Genomic DNA, 19,837 nt, shown 5'->3' with positions numbered 1-19,837 from the left:
TGAATGAGAATGGTTAACGGAAGTTGAGAGAGAGGTATGAGAGAAAGGGAAAGTCTAGTCACGAAAGGCTTCATCATGGAAATAAGATTAATAGTGATGGACAGTGAGGAAGTGGAGGGTCTTTCCAAATAGAGGCAACAGTTATCTTGGTTAACCATGGCTATCACAGGGTGGAAACCTCTTTCAAAAACCTTATTGATTATTTCTGACTCTGTCTTAAGTTTTGGCTCCCATTTTCTTCAAGGAAGTCAACCAATCATGTAAAGTAAGCACACATTCACCATGACTGAAAACCAAAGTTCTTTACTCTCACAAAGTGGATGTGGGTTGGCTAGACAAGCACAAGCAGAGAGCCCCTCATGAATCAGAGATGCTGCAAAGCCATTATTGCACTTGGAGAGATATTTGAACAACTTAATTCTAAAACCCCTTTTTATTAATTCCTCCCCAAAATAAAGTCTACCATTCTAACATCAATCAGCTTTATGCCCATTTACTGAGAGTAATTATAATTGTGCCCTGCCATTATATAGACTGTTGCGAGCGACTGTATACATAATTACATAATTAGGTTAAGCATTACAACCTTCTTCTGTTTGTCAGACTCTATGGTGAATTGTCAAGCAGTTGATAATGAATGGCTACTCTAACCATTTACTCTTAAGAATTACATCCAAAATCTGGTGTTTGAGCCAACAATCAAAAATGTAGACTCTCTTTGTGAGGAACATGCTGATTTGCTTAAAACCACCTGATGGGTCAGTATCAGAGGCATGAACCAAGTCCCTTAAGGAAACAGAAGAGAAATCTGCGTGGAGAGAAAAAATCTTTAAAATATTTTTAATAAACTTTTTAATTTAGAATAATTTTAGATTGAAGGAAAAGTTACAAAGGTAGCACAAAGAGTTTCTTTATAACCTGTTGTGTTATTGTCAACATCTTATAATAGCATGATACATTTGTCAAAACTAAAAAACTGACATTGGTACATTATTGATTTTTTTGGTATTTTGTTTTTTGGGATTTTTGGGGGTTTTCTTTGTTTTTTTTTTTTTTTTTTGAGACAGAGTCTCACTCTGGTGCCCAGGCTGTAGTGCAGTGGTGCAATCTCAGCTCACTGCAACCTCTGCCTCCTGGGTTCAAGCAATTCTCCTGCCTCAGCCTCCTGAGTAGCTGGGACTACAGGCACCTGCCACCATGCCCCGCTACATTTTGTATTTTCAGTAGAGATGGGATTGCACCATGTTGGCCAGGCTGGTCTTGAACTCCTGGCCTCAAGTGATCTGCCTGCCTCGGCCTCCCAAAGTGCTAGGATTCTAAGTGTGAGCCACTGCACCCCGCCTGGTACATTATCGTTAACTAAACTCTGGACTTTACTAGATTTCACCAGGTTCACTAATGTCCTCGTTCCATTCCAATATCCCACCCAGTTACCATGTTGCATATGGTTGTCATCTCTCCCGAGTCTCCTCTGGTCTGTGGCGGTTTCTCAGTCTTCCTTTGTGGATAAAAAAGAGTCAAACACTGCAAAATATTTGAAGGGATTTACTCTGAACCAAATACAAGTGAACAGTGGCCCATGACATAGCCCCAGGAGATCCTGAGAACATGTGCTCAAGGTGGTCAGGCTACAGCTTGGTTTTATACCCTTTAGGGAGACATAAGACATCAATCAATACATGTAAGATATACATTGGTTTGGTCCAGAAAGGTGAGACAACTAGAAGCAGGGGCTTCCAGGTCATAGGCGGATTCAAACATTTTTTGATTGGCAATTTATTGGAAGAGTTATTATCTAAAAGCCCGGGATCAATAGAAAGGAATGACTTAGTTAAGACAAAGGGGTCCCGGGGTGGGCGTGGTATCTCACGCCTATAATCCCAGCATTTTGAGAGGCCGAGGCAGGCGGATCACCTCAGGTCAGGAGTTCAAGAGCAGCCTGGCCAACATGGTAAAACCCCATATCTACTAAAAACACAAAAATTAGCTGGGCATGGTGGCAAGCACCTGTAATCCCAGCTACTCAGGAGGCTGAGGCAGGAGAATTGCTTGAACCTGGGAGGCAGAGGTTGCAGTGAGCTGAGATTGTGCCACTGCACTCCAGTGTGGGCAACAGAGCAAGACTCTGTCTCAAAACGACAACAACAAAAAAAAGACAAAGGGGTTCTGGAGACCAGGGTTTTCTCATGCAGACAAAACCTCTATGCAGCAGGCTTCAGATCTCTTATCAGAGCTAATAAGGTGCCCGACTCTTAGTTAATTCTCTCCTGGAGCAGGGAAAAGATCTAGAAAGGAATAGAGATTCTCTATAGAATGCAGATTTTCCCCACAACCGACAGCTTTGCTGGACCATTTCAAGATATGTCAAATACATATATTTTGGGGTAAAATACTTTGATTTCTTTCAGGGCCTGCTATCTGTTATGTGATGCTATACTAGAGTCAGGCTGGAATTTGGTGTCTTATTGCTATGAAAAGTCTGCTTTGTCAGTCTTAAGAGCTCTGTTTTAATGTTAATGCTGGTCAGCTGTGCCTGAATTCCAAAGGGAGGAGGGTATAATGAGACATGTTCAACTCCCACTTCCCATCATGGCCTGAACTAGTCTTTCAGATTAACTTTGGAAGGCTCTTGGCCAAGAGGAAGGGTCCACTCAGTTGGTTAAGGGGCTTAAAATTTCACTTTTGGTTTACACCTTTTTTTCACAACCTTGACAGTATTGAGGAGTAGTGAAAACGTAACCTGTAGAATGGCCCCCAGTTGGGTTAGTCTGATTTTTTTTAATTAGATGAGGATTATGGATCTTCAGAGGTCCTTTCTGTTATATATCCAGGGTCAGTGATAAACACATGATGTAGCTGATGATGTCTTCACTTGGTTTATCACTTAAGTGATGCATGCCATGTTTCTGCACTGTGACATTATTTTTGCTTTCCATACTGTTTCTTGGAAGCCAGTCACTATGTCTAGCCCACACTTGAGAAGAAGGAGTAGAATTAAGCACTATCTCTTGGAGGGGCAGTATCTATACATATTCTTTAAATCCTTGAAGTTTGAAGGAGAATCACATTTCATTCCATCAGCTTTCACGGGAATATCTACATTCTCCTCCTTCCTATTTTCCATGATCACATATGCCCATTACTCCGTTTGCAACAGGACCCTGTACAACACTCAATCTGTCAGAACCTCCTGTGACCATGTCGGGAAATGGACAATATCCTGTTGCTCCAATGACTATTTTCCATCAGCAGTAGATTCTGGCTGCTGAGAGGTGAAGGGGAAGAAACTTGGAGACAGTTCCTTGGAGGGAGAGCGCACATTCAAACGCAAATGTGTGTAGTAATTAGGTATGATGGGCTGTAATTTTCCGACTTCCTTGTGCAAAGCAAATTGCTTTCTGAGTTGAAATGTTCTCTGGCTTTCTTTCCCTTAAGTTTGGCCTTGTATGAAAGTCCTCCTTTTCAAAAAGCCAAATTTGTTTCATTTTATCTTATAACTAATTTAATGCTAATTGCACAATGACTACATTAGGCAACACTGAACTATACCACACTGTGGAACGAAAATTCATCTGTCAACCTGAAAAGCCTAAGTAAACCTAAGAGTGTGTTCAAAGATTAACCTCTGAGAGGCTGCCTTTCAGGATTATGCTGGTTGAGACAGGGCTACAGAATGCTAGGCCTTCTGGCTCTCAACACAGCAGACACTTTTAGAAACGTGGGTTCCTCTTAGAATCCATGAGGATTCTCCAAATGAATCAGAAACTCAGACTTCAGTTCTTTAATATGACTATTGTCGAGTACATGAATCACCCCTACAACTTGCAAATGAAGAAGTTTCTAATCTTTTTGGTTTTTAAAATACATCCAGGGACAAGGAACTTAGCATCTCCCAAAGTAGCAAGCACCACTGTTTGAAACTCTAATCTTAAATAAGGTCCCTCTTAGACCTATTTCTTTGTGATTTTTACATTTACATATTTGCCTAATCTCTATTTAAAGGGGATGATTAAATTCATTTTAAAAATAACCCACATTGGTGTATATTTTTGGCACAGAAAAATATCTGGGAAAGTAGATATTAATAGTTGTTATTCTTAATAGTAAAATGACAAATTATTTTTGCTTATTCAATTTTCAATTGTTCTAAAATGACCATAGACCCTTTCTATAATAAAAAATGATAAAAGTGGGCCAGGCACAGCGGTTCACACCTGTAATCCCAGAACTTTGGGAGATTGAGGCGGGCAGATCACCTGAGGTCAGGAGTTCGAGACCAGCCTGGCCAACATGGCGAAATCCTGTCTCTACTAAAAAATATAAAAATTAGGCAGGCATGGTGGCACATGCCTGTAGTCCAAGCTACTCAGGAGGTTGAGGCAGGAGAATCACTTGAACCTAGGAGGCAGAGGTTGCAGTGAGTTGAGATCATGCCACTGCACTCCAGCCTAGGCAACAGAGCGGGACTCCATCTTAAAAAAAAAAAAAATCCATAAAAGCAAACAAGAACTTAAAGGGAAAAGGAGAGGGAAGTAGGCAGTAGGAAATACATGAGCCCAAAAGTTTCTTTTATCCTTGGGGCAGAAACCAGAAACACATTTATTATGCCAAAGGGGTATTTCTAGAGAAATTAATACTCTTGTCTTATATTTTACTCATTTTTGCATTGAACCAAAATACCTTTATTGAGAACCAAAAATGTGCCAAGAGTTCTGCTAGTCACTAGGGATCCACAATTAGTGAGAAACAATTTGTGCCAGTGGCACAATGGTGGAGACAGACACACAAACAGAAAAGCGCAGGCTGTTGTGCAGTGGAGGTGGTTCACAGCCACTGCATCTACCCATGCACCTTGTGCTCTTCTCCATGGGGCCAGGTCTAAGAGGGCACATCTACCATCACAATCAGTATTGATTTGCATGCTTAATACAATTTTTTAGCATTTGACAAAGTGTCTCCAGGAGGGGACACCATCTTTTCACTGACAGACAAGTACACTGTAGGTTAATGGGCATCCTGGAGACAGGCTCACTGAGTACTATGGGAACATTAGGAGTGACTTAGCTTTGCATTAAGAGCAAGGAGAGTGTTGCAAAGACAAGGCTGGGGAGAGAATACTGGAACTTTGCCTTAAAGCCAATAGGTGTTCATCTATCAAGTAAAAAAGGCAAAAGAACATTGCAACATATCTTACAGCCCCAAGTACATGCAGGAGAAAGCAAAAGATGACCTGGGAAGGCAGGATGGGGAGTTTAGATTTTAATGGGGAGTTTAGATTTTATCCTATAGGCAATGGCAGCCTCTATATTTGAGGCTTTGTTTCTTGTGTTCAGTATATCGAATGAATAATGAGTACTTGAATGAATGAGTAGATGAATGAGTGCGAGAATGAATGAATAATGTGTACATGAATGAATGGAAATCGAGTTAGTTTGTAAATAGTTAACAGACATTTAGATTTGATGCTAAGAACAGATTATGGACAAATTCTTTTCTTCCTTGGCTTTCTTCAGGCACCACTCGAATCTTTCTACTTTTGTCCCTTGTGGGGAGCCATCCACAAGGATAGAATTAAAAGTGATGTGTGGCAAACTATGCAGCTACTAGGACCCCACAACCAGGAGATACTTGCAGTCTGCACAGTCATACTGGACAACTTTTATCTACTAGTTTCCACATACAGACAAACGTGCAAATACATACACACACACACACACACACACACACACACACAAACTACTTTTCTGAGATATGCTCTTCCATTTTTATACCACCTAGCCATTGTGGGGTCCATCATGTTCCTATAGTTTTAACCTCCCCACTGGCCCCAGTTGATGGGTCCGGGGGGGCAGATCATTTAAGCTGGGCCAATCAGTCCACTTATCACGACTATTGAATCTGGTGTCTCTTCAGGTGCCTTGACTGTGTCCTGCTGAACTCAGCAACCGTTGGCAGTATTTGCAGGATGTGGGGATAGTTGAGAGAGGAGCCAGAAGAAGCCCATCAGTAGCAAGAAGGAAAAGTGAACTGAGGTGTGCCAAAAAAAAAAAGCAAAGACAAAAATCTGCAGGAGTCCTACCTACACTTAAGCACTGGTTCCAGTTCACTCAGGAGACACAGACTCACTTTAGTGTCTGATGAGAAACCTTTGCATCTCTGTGATAAATTCTCTTTTATATGTAAACTGAAATTGAATTATATTAGCTTTACTAAACCCAGAGTGTGGTTTAAGTTGAGTTGGTTGAAATTCAGAAGTAGGCTTTAGTTACTTGCAACCAAATGAGTCCTAATCAAGCCAATAATCTAGAGAAAGGAGCAAGCACTTTGGACCCTGTGGGTTTAAATGTTGGTATTGACACTTACTAGCTATGCACCCCTTGTGTGCCCTCTCAGAGACTCTCAGAGTATTACATAATACTCACCCACAATTTTGCTGTGGCAGCTTGAAATCATGTCTGTAAAGTTCCTGGTACCCTGTCTGGTAAGCAGTGGATGCTACATAAATGGGAGTTGCTATTATTATGCTTATGCCAAGAGACACTTTTTCGCACAATAGACGAGAAATTGACAGGCTCATGGTTAATTATTAGTACAAATTTGCCTGCTAGTCCCACCACCCCACCCCACCCAAAAAAAGCTTTAGCTAAGCCTCCTTACCCTTGTTTGACTGCATTATAAACAGAATCCAAGAGAAGAACTCCTATTTCCTGCCCCATCACCTCCCTTAATGGCTGAGCCTCCAGGAAAGCATTCTTATTTATTATGAATGTAACAAAAAGACACTGGGTTCTAGATTTTTATGAGCATATTTTTAACCTCTGCACCTGCTCTCCAATGCTGTACTCAAACAGAAGCTCCTAGAGCAACCAAATAAAGGAAATTTAAGATGCAACTTCTCATTGCCTTTTTTTTTTTTGAAGTGTAATTATAATGTTGTCATTGGTGCTGATTCGCAGAGGGCCAACAGTGTACGTGGTGCTGCAGAGTTCTTGCAAAGACAGCATTTTGTGAGCATAAACAGAGGGGAGACGTGTCTTGAATACAATTAATTTTGTTCTTTGAAATCCTACCTGCCAATTTGGACTTTTAATAATTTTATTCTCATTCTCCTCTGCCAGCCTTTACTCCAGAGAGAAGCAAAGGGAGAAAGACAAGATGAACTAGGGCTCCCCAGCACCTCAAATGAGAGTTTGCTTTTAAAGCCCTTGGCAGCACCTTTAAAAATGGAACTGAGTCCACCTGGGAAAAGGTGAGGGCCATCTCTTGAAAGAGAGATTTTCTGAGTAGAAACATTATATTGACACCCAGGAGAACGGTAACAATGTCAGTGTAACAAGAAATTCAGAGATAGCAGTTTAATGTGACAGCACAAACACTGGAATAAGCAGAGACTTTTCAAATCAAGAAGATACCAAACTAAGATCCGCAGAGCAAGTCTTGACAGTTATTCTTCTTGTGCCAGAAGCTCACTAATGGAGTTACACATAACCTTTCTAAACTACAGATTCCCGCACCAATCCAAATCACCAAATCACAGGTCCTGGGGTTGGATTTCAGGCATGTGAATTTGTTAAAACCATGATGTTCTTCTATCATCTCTAATTACATTAAGCTTAGTTGTTGTTGTTACTTTTTCTGTGAAAACCCAGAAAAAGAAAAAATATGAAGGATGACGTGTCCCATTTGATGATCAGGAGGGAAACTTTTGATTAAAACAGGTCAAGAAGAGTTTTGAATACCTCTTGTGCACACGTGAAGTGTTAATCATTGCACATTATACATTGCTTGATATGCACTAAAAACACATTCTGAGCCTTGGTTTCCTCATCTGTGAAATAGAGATAATTCTTACTTTGGAGTCTTTAGTGAGAATTAAATGAGATAATTGTGTAAAGTATCTAGGTCATAGAAGTTACAAAACTTGCTCAACACAATAGTCACACAGGGAAAATTGGAAATTACAGGTAGGTCAATCAGATGCCAAATAGACCTCATTTTAGGCTTTATTCCTTACACACTCAGACTTCTTCTGAAAAACAAATTCTCAAATACTGAGAAATAAAGGGAAAAAAAAGTTGGTCAGGAGAGCAGACTGCCGGTTTCTCCCCATTTTCCTTAGTAACAGACCAATTTTAGCGGGGATTCCCAGCAGCCATCCCAGAGCCCGGGGTGTTCTCAAGGCAGGTAATCATGCATCACATCAGGATGGAGGGAAACCAGAGCCATGAGTGTGGACCCCCAGAACACTCACCTCCAGATTTCTTTATGTAAAAAGGAATAAAATAGTGATTTTAGTTCCCATGAGCCATAGCCAAATCTAATTCTAATGAATACAATCACACAGGAAAACTCTTCAACAAGACTTTGATGATGACCATTGATAGATCACTAAGCAACTGGCCTAAGTAACACGAAAACATGTTAAAAAAAAAAAAAAAGAAAAGAAAAGAAAGGTGTTTCTGAGGCCAGATGAAGAAAGATGCTTGGTTACCAACTGTATTAGGGTTGTCTTGAGAATCAGAACCAGTGAGAGAGATTTATTGTGATAATTGGCTCATGTAATTATGGAGGTGAGAAGTCCCATGACCTGTCATCTGCAACCTAGAGAACCCAATAGAATTCAGTCTAAGTCCAAAGTTCTAAGAACCAGGGAAGCTGACTGTGTAACTCCTAGTTGAGTGTGAAGACCTGAGGTATCAGGGGTAGGGGTTGCTCTGCTTGTGTAAGTCCCATAGTGTGAAGGCCAGAGAACCAAGAGATGGTCAAGAAGAGAGAGTAAGTGTCCAATGTCCCAGCTCAAGAAGAGAGAGTAAGTTCATCATTCCTCTGTCTTTGTGTTGTATTCGGGCCCACAACAGATTAGACTATGCCCACCCACAATGATGAAAGTGGATCTTCTCTACTCAGCCTACTGAACCAATGCTCATCTCTCCCAGAAACACCCTGCCAGAAATAATGCTTTACCAGCTACCTGGGCATCCCTTAGCCCACTCAAGCTGACACATTAGCCATCACATCAACAAAGTAATTGGAAAAAAACAAACACATAATCCTTCAGCTTTAGCACTAGAGAGAACTAAGATTCAAACCCAGCTCTAATACTTTACTGGCTGTGTAATCCTAAGCAAGTTATTTTAATCTTTCTGAGCCTTACATTTTTGTTCTCGATTGGTTGGTTGGTTGTGTTTTGCTGTAGCTGAAATCACCTAGAGCAATACTCACAAAACAGAGTTGAGATGAATTTTAAATTAAATGAGAGAACAAATGCAAATAACATAGCACAATGGCACTCAATAAATTCTAGGTTCCCTGCCTATTTTAGTGATACAGTCAATTTTATTATTGTTCTCAATTATTTACTTTCCTTCCTATAAGAGAATTTTAGTTGGAAAAGTGACATGATCTGACTTAAATACCAACCTCATGTATAGGATGACATGACTGAAATCTTCTGAGAGAGAAATGAGCCCTACTAATAATTATAACAGGAGAGTAGGTATAAAGCAGAGCTGTCCCAGAAGGCTGAAATGTTTGGTCATCCTGGAGAGATGAGTCTGGAGTTTCATGGAAAAGTCAGGACCAGAGATATAGCTGGGGCATCATTGCCCTTAACATACACATGGTATGTGACTGAGGAAGATGCCCTAGGAAAGTACACAGAGAAGAGAAGAAAGAGAACCCGAGAGATAGCCTTGAGCTTTCCAGTGCTGACAAGTCAGACAGAAAATGAGGCACCAATGAGAAGACTGAAGAGGAGCAGTAGTCCTCATCCCAGAGCACCAGATGTTGGAAGGTGACTAAGCGGTATCTGGGAGTAAGTATAAATAATTCTGAGCATTTCACTACCTCCGGCCTTTACAAAAATCACAATATTGTCATTCAAAGGCCCTTCTTTTCAAACAACAGTGATCACAATGATATTTCTGATATGTTCTTCTAAGTTACAGAGAACAGATAATTTTTTTTCTTAAGAAAAAGAAAGAAAGAAATAGCCAATAAAGTAAAGATTTGCCAGGAAATGCACATCGTGCTATGTTTATACTCTAGCACAACCTAGTGGTACTGCTTTTTACCAGGCAGGTCTAGACTAGAATAAAGTGGATGTTGCTGTCAAAATTTCATCTTCACAGTCACAATCCACCACTGTGACTTTATGGTACTCCCCTGCATCATGGGACTGGAAGCAAGATGGATGTCACAATGCTACCTAGATGGCTCAAACATCCTTCAAGAGGGATATTTTTAGGAAAACAAAAGTGGTCTCATTGTGTCATTTTGAGATCCCAGTAGCTATTTTTTAGCAGTCAAGATATTACCTCAGGTCTTCCTTACTTGAGGTGCCAGGCAGTGTTTATCCATAACCCAGTGGTGAACAGTTAGCACCACTAGCAGCCACAATTTTTTCAGCCCTTTTCACATGAGAGCCTATCATGAAGTTCAATAAAGACATTCTAACAAAAGAGTCAAATTCACTGACAGCTCAGGCTACTCTGACAGTGAATCTCATCAGAACGAGGCTCCAAGTGAATTCACTGAGAAACAGACTTGTAGCGTTGGACCTCAGCATCTCGTTATAGGATACGAATTGTCCCATGCATGCAAACAGTTCTGAAGTGGGCAAGCATGGTGTGGGTTGTCATTTGCACCAAGCTCAGCTAGCATACAGTTGTTTTATCGGCCACATTCTGCTATGTGGAACCCTTAAGCCAGCAAGGCCTACAACTTCAACAGGATTCATATGCATGGAATTGTGACATCGGTGAAAAAAAGACCCTTCCTGGAATCTCCCAAACTTCTTTTTGTTTTAGAGGTTAAAATCTTGGAAAGGGACTCCCATCATGGAAGTACAATATCTACATCATATTGATATTGAGTCAGCATTTGGGCCATAAGGAGCTAAGTTCCTATTGTTTTTCACAAATGCAGGGCGCTCTAGGAGTCCCACTAGATCTGCAACAGAGAATGTCTTCTGCAGACAGGCACACACAAGCAGACCAGAGTAGAAGACGCAGGCCACCTCCCACAAGTTCAGTTGGAAGTGACACCTCTGAGTTCTTCCTTCTGGACTCCTTGCCAAGGCAGAGTGCAGACTCACCTCCCCCAAGGGTCCAAGGCTGAAGACACAGAGCCACTATCAAATAGCCAGTTGCAGATTTTAAATATAACATCATCTTAATATTTCAAATGGGAAAATGGCAAACATGTTATATATAAAGAGTCCCTTAATTGGATTGTTCAACAAGACTAGAAACAGCTATTGGATTTCCATTTCAGACAAGTTTATAAATAATTTCTATTTGTTAAGCCTCAGTTATTAACAAATATAGTCTTTGAAATGTCACTGGTAACTCACATATTTTATTTCAAGTGTAGTTAATGACTTATGTGTAGAATGCTCTTAATTGTTTTTTAGCTCCACAGTAATTATCAGTATTTTCAAAGAACCAATATAACACACAGCATCTTATAAGCAAATATTACCAATCTTTCCTTTGGGGCATGGAGAATAAGCACTGTAAATTTGGGTCATTTTTCTTAGACTACCTAGCAAGTTTGAGGAAGGGCTAGAAAGCTCAAACTTGCCTAGTAGTAAAACGGTACTATTGGGAAGTGGCATTCCCTATTTGTTCACTTCGCATAGTGAGCACCTGTGATGGACAAGTGACTATGTTAGGTGTGGCATGGCATTATAGAAAAAGAAGAAACTTTCCTTGCCTTTTAGAAGCTTAAAACCTAGGATGGGGAATGGTAATGCAGCTACTCAAATAGCTCGACTGAAAGGCAGGTGAAAGAGGTGAAAGGTGGGCCGGGTGCAGTGGCTCACACCTGTAATCCCAGCACTTTGGGAGGCCAAGGCAGGTGGACCACCTGAAGTCAGGAGTTCGAGACCAGCCTGGCCAACATGGTGAAACCCCATCTCTACTAAAAATACAAAAGAGCCGGGCATGGTGGTGGGCACCTGTAATCCTAGCTACTCGGGAGGCTGAGGCAGGAGAATTGCTTGAACCCAGGAGGCAGAGGTTGCAGTGAGCCAAGATCGTGCCACTGCACTCCAGCCTGGGCAACAGAGTAAGACTCAGTCTCCAAAAAAAAAAAAAAAAAGAAAGAAAGAAAAAGAAAGAAAGAAAGAAAGAAAAGAAAAGAAAAGAAAAGAAAAGAAAAGAAAAGAAAAGAAAAAGAAAAAGAAAAAATAAAGAGGTGAACGGTACTGAACAGAAACTAAGAAGGCTGAGAGCCAACTCTGAGGTAACAGCTAGGAGCTGAAGCAGGAAAGCTAAAATCTGCCCCAGTCCCATTGCTGATAGACTCACCATTTACTAACAGAGAAACCATTCCTCCTTTTAGATCATTTCTTCATTTTTCCAGTGGAAGGCATGTTTTTGAAGAGTGAGAACAAAAGACAATGCTTTTAAAAATCTGACCCTAGTGTTTTAAGGGGAATTTTCCTAAAGTAAAACTTTCCCTTACCCAAAAGAAATAAACAGGCAATTTACAAAAGTAGAAATTCAAATAGCTAATAGGCTTATTTTAAAAAAAAAATCAGTTACATTAGTAATCAAAGAAATGCAAATTAAAATGAATTACCATCTTTCTCCTCTCAAATGGGAAGAGATTTAAAAGCCTGATAAAAATCCAGCCCTGGTGAGGGTGAGAAGAAATAGGCATTCTCCTACACTGCTGAAGAGAGTGTAAATTGCTACATCTTTCCTGGATTGGCGATTTAGAAATACTTAATCAAAAGCCTTTAAAATGTACAGACCCTTTGACCCAACAATTTTACTGCAGTTATTCCCAAGGGATGGAGACAAACATCTTATTTGCGAAGATCCTCATCACTTCATCACTGTTGCTAATCGTGAAAAATTGAAAACACTCTAAATGTCTAACGTTAAATAAATTGCCATAATACAATGGAACAATGTTCAATCATTGATAATAATGTTGTTGTAGGACATTTTTATTAATGTGAGAAGATATTCATGTTATAGTGTTAAATACACAAAAATGTATGTGTAGCATGTCGTTTTTTGTTTAAACATGCATATAAACGGATAAATGCAAAGAACAAGATGTGGAATGACAAACGCCCATACATCGTTATCAGCCTTTCTATCAATGCAGAGCTCCCCAGCCTTTTTGACACCAGGGACTAGTTTTGTGGAAGACAATTTTTTCATGACAGGGTGGGTGTGGGGTGGTAGTTGTGGGTTGATTGAAGTACATTACATTTATTGTGTACTTTATTTTCTATTATTATATTATAATATATAATGAAATAATTATACAACTCCCCATAATGTAGAATCAGTGGGAGCCCTGAGCTTGTTTTCCTGCAACTAGACATCTCCATCTGGGGTCGTTGGGGAACAGTGACAGATCATCAGGCATTAGATTCTCATAAGGAGAGAGCAACGTAGACCCCTCACAGGCGCAGTTCACGACAGGGCTCGTGCTCCTATGAGAATCTAATGCCACTGCTGATCTGACAGGAGGCAGAGTTTAGGCAGTAATGAGAGAGATAGGGAGTGGTTGTAAATACAGATGAAGCTTTGCTTACTTGCCTACTGCTCACCTCCTGCTGTGTGGCCTGGTTCCTAACATGGTCTTGTTCCTACCAGTCTGTGGCCCGGGGGTTGGAGACCCCTGTATCAGTGGACGGTCTCTATTTGTCAGCAGTTCCATGTTAACAAGTAAGAGCATGCCTTTTGATACTACACAAGTGTTTTCCCCAACTTGTTCTCCCAGGAAACTTCTACTGGGTCTTCAAAATGTAATTCAAATTGTCACTTCTTTTCCAAATACCTCTATCCCACTCATACCAAAGCAGCAGGCCAAGGGAAACAGCCATGAGGCTTCAGCTTCAACAACAGTTGTTCCTTGCCTGTGTGTCAGCCTCTGTGCTTGGAAAGCCAAAAACTCTCCCCATCTCTACCTTGACACCCAAATTCCAAAATAGATACAAACATTCAGAAGAAGAAATTTCCTCTCTGGTCACTCTCCTAGCAGCTGAATTTATTCTACGTAACAGACACACATACACCAGAATCTTGGCTATTCCCAGGACTTCCTTAAAGCAGCATTCAAAGTACATACTGCCCAAGCAGAACTAGTCACTACCCACCTTTCTCCCATTCCCAGTCCATCCATCAAAGGAGAGAAATCAAAGGCCAAGAGGTAAAGAGAGAAGGTCATGGAATCCTCCCAAACTTACAGTCTGACTTCTAGGGACCTCAAAAACAGGAGACGCTCAGGACCAACCGGGGCATTGGCCTGAGCCCAGCTGCCTCCAGGCAATTCTCCTCCTGCCCTGATGGCTTTCAAAAGAGAAATGCCTGGGTAAGTCATTCAGACAGCTCAGTTCACTCCTCATGCCTTGCTTCTGGGAGAATAAAAGATAGGCCTGTCACATTAGTAATTGTAGCAATACTGGGTGGCACAGAGCTTTCATAGCTTGGCTGTATTGGGAAAACTCGGGATTTGTTTACTAAACAAACCTCTGCTGGAGGAGAAAGGGAGGGAGGGATGGTATTTAATGCAGGAACAACTATTTCCTCTGGCTCTTCCCCATCTGCCCTGACACTGCTAGGCTCGTTCAGAAACTGTTCACCGAATCAACCATTGTTGTGGGTATCAGGAACATTACACATCCCCTAATTTGAACTTCTCACTTCAAAGATGGGAAATCCAGGTCCATAAAAAATAAAATGATTAACCTTAGGTCACACAGCTAGTTCTTGAGCAAACTGGTGGCCCAATTCTACTAGAGTTGGCCCTTGGACAGCATGGGTATGAACTGTGCTGGTCCACTCATACATGGATTTTCTTCCCCCTCTGCCACCCCTGAGACAGCAAGACCAACCCCGCCTCTTCCTTCTCCTTCTCGACCTACTCAAAGTAAAGATGAGGATGAAGACCCTTAAGATGATCCACTCCCACTTAATGAATAGTAAATATATTTTTCTTTCTTATGATTTTTAATAACACTTTGTTTTCTCTAACTTACTTTATTGTAAGAATACACTATACGATACATATAACATACAAAATATGTATTAATCCACTGTTTACATTATCAGTAAGGCTTCCAGTCAACAATAGGCTACTAGAATTTAAGTTTGGGGCAGCCAAAACTTATACATGGATTTTCTACTGCACAGGGGTCAGTGCCCCTAACCCCAACGTTGTTTAAGGGTCAACTGTAATTTTCTCCTCAATGCTATTTGTCACTACCAGAGGTAGAGTTACCATAAATCTTACGCAGCTAAAGCTTTGGAGTCCCTCACTTGCATGGGATTCTTTCAATACCTGACGGGGTCCCAGTCATGTGTTTACATAGACATATGATTTTGTACCACTAGCAAGAGGAAGGTATTTTAACTACAATTAAGATTCCTGTTCGGGTGGCTTTGGAGTTGAGTTGAGGATCTATTTAGCTTGGGTTTAGCGGAATTTATTTGTATGATTTGCAGAAACTTTTGTGGATAGCTAAGTTACTGCTAGCCATCTGATTATAGCAATGGCTTCCAGGAGCATCACGACCTGTGCAGACTCCCCAGCATCATAACAGGAAGGTCCCACGATCACGAGCACATTGCCTTCAGCATCCAGCACTGAATGTGAGTCATGGAGGAGAAACGTGGCATGCAATGGACAGAGCTGGAATCTGCTTTATAAAATGCTCTTTCAAAACTCACAGTTCTTAAAAGAAGTTTGATAGAAGTTTTCTCAAATCTGACAATAATCCCAAATGTTTACTTGATATTACCCCAAAAAACAAATTGTGGAGCTGAAAGAAATTTTTCTTTAATTGTCAGTAGTAAAAAACAAATTTTGATCAACCATGCTACAGAAGAGGTTGAATTATCCTTATTTTCTCTATAGAAAATGGTATTATATAAAATGTCATATGAATAGAGCAATCAAAGAAAATTCAGCCAGAAAAGATATGAGAAAAAAGGATTATAAAGCAATGCCAGGAAGTCAATTTTAAAACACATTATTTTTCTGATTTTGTGAAGCTTGTGGTATTTGTCAGCTTTTTAAAAATCATTGCTTTCTAAAAGTTCTTATTCCAGATAAGTATCCTCATTCATACTTAATTTTGTATTTGTAGTTTTGTATTATTCTCCTTAAAGAGAGATCCAAAGTTGCATAAGCTTCAGGCCCCCCAGAACCTAGATCTACCCCTGGTTATTATTATTGTAGTACTGTATTTTACATTAATAGTAATATTTAATGAGTACCTACCAAGTATACCAAGGAGTTGTAGTAGATATACTAACTCCTTTCATTTTATACTTTCAGGCAACCAATATCCATTTTACAGCTAGAGATGTTTAATCAAAAAAGAGAAGGACCTTAAATATGATAGATATTCTCACTTCAACATGCTCCCCTTCCTTGATTTTGTTTGTTTGATTGTTTGTTTGTTTGAGATGGAGTCTTGCTCTGTTGCCCAGGTTGGAGAGCAGTGGCGCGATCTTGGCTCACTGCAACCTCCACCTCCCGGGTTCAAGTGATTCTCCTGCCTCAGCCTCCCAAGTAGCTGGGACTACAGGTGCATGCCACCACGCCTGGCTAATTTTTGTATTTTTAGTAGAGACAGGCTTTCACCATGTTGGCCAGGATGGCTTCGATCTCTTGACCTCGTGATCCGCCCGTCTCGGCCTCCCAAAGTGCTGGGATTATAGGCATGAGCCACTGCGCCTGGCCATGCTCCCGCTCCTTGTTAGCTATAGATCTTGGAGCATTTTCCAGTCATCTCTCTTGACCTCAATTTATTTGCATTTTACAAGAAGAGAAACTGGAGCACCTAAACGTATCCACTTGAAATTAATAGTGAGCTTCTGAGCCCCTGACTTCCTAGGTTAAGGATGCACCAATGTCCTGGGACTACAGGAGGTATTTGTAGGGTGCACTCTAATCTCCTATATTCTGGCATACTAAATTATTCCTCAATGATTAGTCTAGCCTATACCTTTATGTCTTTAAGCAGTAAAGCTATAGCTGTATCTATCTATTTATCTATTTATATAAATAGTTTGAAGAGAAATTCCCCATGCCCTTAAACAGAAGACACTCAAAATCATCTCACCTTTCTCAGTGAGAATGAATGTTTATTGCTGCAAAAATTACTATTATGCTCAACCTGTTCTATGTGAAGTATGTAAACTTAAATCTCTCCTCAAGAGAGCTGCTATTCCTTGCTTTTGTCAAAGAAGCATCTTTAGTATCTTCCCCTTATTTTAATTTGCTGGTTGCAGCGAGATAATTGGCTTGCAAGTTAGATCAAAAGGTTTAATTGTATGTAAAATAGGGTTGTAAGGCAGCCCTGATTATGGTAGCATGAGGCTCTCCTCACATGGTGTACAGATTTTATAGCATGACATCCATCTGGGCTCTCCCTATGCATGAATTGGTTGTTGTCTTGGTTCTTACTCTATTTTAAGAGAGCTGATCTTCCTATAAAAAATGAGGTACTACTATGCAAGACACAAATTGGAACCCATATGGATGCACCAGGCTTTGAGAAGCTCTCTGAGAGGGCAAAATAGCAGCCAGTCTGTTCCTAGAGATCCCTGTTTTCCAATCCATGAACCTCTTGAATCATGTCTGCCATTCTTCCTCCTCCCGTTTCTCGCCTCACTGAGCCCTACCCAACAACAGAAAAACCCAGAACACTGTTAAATGTGAGTACAAATGTTTATCCTCCCATCCCCACTGATGAATTCTAGATGGTGAATTGCACTCTGAAGAGCTTCCTAAGCTTGTAAGAAAGTGATTCTGAAAAGCTCAACATTTTGGTAGAATGGAGAGATTTGACATTGCTTCTGCTCCAAAAGCAAAAGACTTGGGTGAGTATTCATCAAGCACCTAGGGCATGCCAAGACTGTGTAAGCATATTCACAAACTACATCTCCTTTCATCTTCACAGCAGGTAGGTATCATTTTCCTCATTTTATAGATGAGGACACTAAGGTTTAAAGAAGCTAGATAACTTGCCTAAGAGCACATAGTTTATATGCAGTAGAACCTAGATTGCAACTCAGCTCTCTCCAAAGCTAAAGCCAATTTCTGGCCACTACATATGAAAATTAAGTTCTAAAATCTTTAGCTCTGCTGCAGAAGAAATAAGAACAGAACAGAAACCATGGAGGATCACAGTTGTTTGTGAAATTCTCCTGTTTCACATTGTCCTGTGGTCGCCCATGAACTTGTAAACCACAGGATGCCATATTCATCTTCCATGGATCTTGGTGTGCATACATCAGCTTGCTGGATGATTTTGTGCCCTGAATGTTTCCCACAGTATGTTCTGTTTTTAATCTACTTTAATTGGTCTCCTTCTCCCCTTTGTGAATTATAATACTCTTCTCCTCCAGGCGTGTGTCACTCATATAGTTCAACAATCCCTCCAGCCTCAGGAATACATCAAAGCAAATAACATTGATCACTGCCAGTTGGTTCTCAGGGCTCCACAGCACACTGCCAGCAGGGAGTTAGGAGATGGCTCTGGAGAGAAAATGTTTGTCCTGAGATCCACTAGCCTGATCTTTCTATGAGCAACTCCAAGAACTAGCAAGTACAGCATCTCTGTCTCTATCTCTCTTAGAGAAATTATTATCTAGACAAAATTATACTGTGCTATCTGGTATTGTGCCATTTTAAGTTTCAGCCCAGATCAGTAAAATGGATAAATGACTGATTGAATCGAGTGGGGTTCTCAACTTTGGCACTGTTGACATTTTGGACTGGGGATGAAGGAAGTGTTCTGTCCATTTTAAGACAATCAGCAGAGTAGGACGCTAAGTGTCGCAAGATGTTTAGTCAGTAGCATCCCTCGCCATTATGAAAACCAAAATTGTCTCTAGACATTGCCAAACATCCCCTGGGGGCAAAATTGCCCTGGAACAGCCACTGGAATTGAGTGAAAAGAACAAGTATTATCTGAAAATCAGATGGAGGTTTTATCTCATTAGGACTCAAGGTAGGTCTAAAAATCTTCTGCATTATATCAACCCTCCTTCTCCATGCTCCCCCAGAATATCATGCATGAAAATTGCTTTGATCATAGGTACAGTGGGTACATCCAAATGCATTTTGTTCTAGGTAATGGGGAATTTAGCATTCCTGAAAGGAATTCTAGGGATCACATCTTACAAAGACCAAGCACATATAATGTAAGCACCACATTTACTACCCTGTTATCTGTATATCCAACCACTTGACAAATACAACAGCATACTAGGTTATATCATACCAGAGAGGTTGCCCACACATCAGATGGAACACACATTTACTTGCACATTACTAGTCATAAAAATTCTGTCCCTGTGCCATTTGCAGAATTAAATAACCACATGGGAGCAAAACATTTAGAAGCAAAGACAAAAGTGATTTTTCAGATGTGATTGGAAGAAACAAAGGGCTGAGTTATCAGGTCACTCTAGAAATACTAGTGTAATTCCAGATATTCCATGTAACTTGTAAGGCACACCAAATAAAACTGCATGTGTAAAACTAACTCAGTTTCACAGACCTTGTTAAATTGACCACAAAGTCTGTACACCAAGAAAAGATTCAAAGAGTTACAAAAAGAACTGTGATTGGGTTGGCCTAGAAGAGAATAGAAGACACTTATTTGTGTAATCAAACCTGGGCTTTGTAACTGAGGGATCTATTAACCACATAGAGGTTGTATTCAAAGATGTTTGGCCCTGCCCTGTGACCCGGAAAATAGAAAAAGGGCTGAGTAAAGGCCTCTCTTTCCTGCTGTTCTCCTCTTCTTTCCCCTCACCTTCTTCCTTCTCAACCATTTAGCTGATGGTTGTCATCT

General features: G+C 40.5%; 1 protein-coding gene and 1 long non-coding RNA gene across 12 annotated transcripts in view, besides 3 other annotated features; one reads left to right on the top strand and one right to left on the bottom strand.

The window, feature by feature from the left end:
- Nucleotides 1-19,837, bottom strand: part of AGBL1 (AGBL carboxypeptidase 1) — a 951,857-nt gene that overhangs the window by 906,087 nt on the left and 25,933 nt on the right. The gene's annotated exons all lie outside the window — the stretch shown is intronic.
- Nucleotides 1,543-2,080: an enhancer, noted in NCBI's record as "H3K27ac hESC enhancer chr15:86666541-86667078 (GRCh37/hg19 assembly coordinates)". NCBI's record gives its function as "activates a minimal SCP1, AML or CMV promoter by ChIP-STARR-seq in naive H9 embryonic stem cells {active_cell/tissue: H9 hESC(naive)}" and the evidence as "EXISTENCE:reporter gene assay evidence [ECO:0000049][PMID:30033119]".
- Nucleotides 2,081-2,618: an enhancer, noted in NCBI's record as "OCT4-NANOG-H3K27ac hESC enhancer chr15:86666003-86666540 (GRCh37/hg19 assembly coordinates)". NCBI's record gives its function as "activates a minimal SCP1, AML or CMV promoter by ChIP-STARR-seq in primed H9 embryonic stem cells {active_cell/tissue: H9 hESC(primed)}" and the evidence as "EXISTENCE:reporter gene assay evidence [ECO:0000049][PMID:30033119]".
- Nucleotides 2,619-3,156: an enhancer, noted in NCBI's record as "OCT4-NANOG-H3K4me1 hESC enhancer chr15:86665465-86666002 (GRCh37/hg19 assembly coordinates)". NCBI's record gives its function as "activates a minimal SCP1, AML or CMV promoter by ChIP-STARR-seq in primed H9 embryonic stem cells {active_cell/tissue: H9 hESC(primed)}" and the evidence as "EXISTENCE:reporter gene assay evidence [ECO:0000049][PMID:30033119]".
- LINC01584 (long intergenic non-protein coding RNA 1584) overlaps nucleotides 8,673-19,837 on the top strand; it is a 33,373-nt gene continuing 22,208 nt past the window's right edge. Inside the window, exons 1-3 of the long non-coding RNA NR_120368.1 lie at nucleotides 8,673-8,775; nucleotides 15,529-15,617; nucleotides 17,736-17,855. This is a non-coding gene — a long non-coding RNA (long intergenic non-protein coding RNA 1584). The remainder of the gene's footprint in view (nucleotides 8,776-15,528; nucleotides 15,618-17,735; nucleotides 17,856-19,837) is intronic.

Source organism: Homo sapiens, chromosome 15 (assembly GCF_000001405.40).
Source record: "Homo sapiens chromosome 15, GRCh38.p14 Primary Assembly".
NCBI lineage: Eukaryota > Metazoa > Chordata > Mammalia > Primates > Hominidae > Homo > Homo sapiens.
The sequence above is the reverse complement of the archived record's forward strand: the minus strand, read 5'-3'. Positions and strand labels throughout refer to the sequence as shown.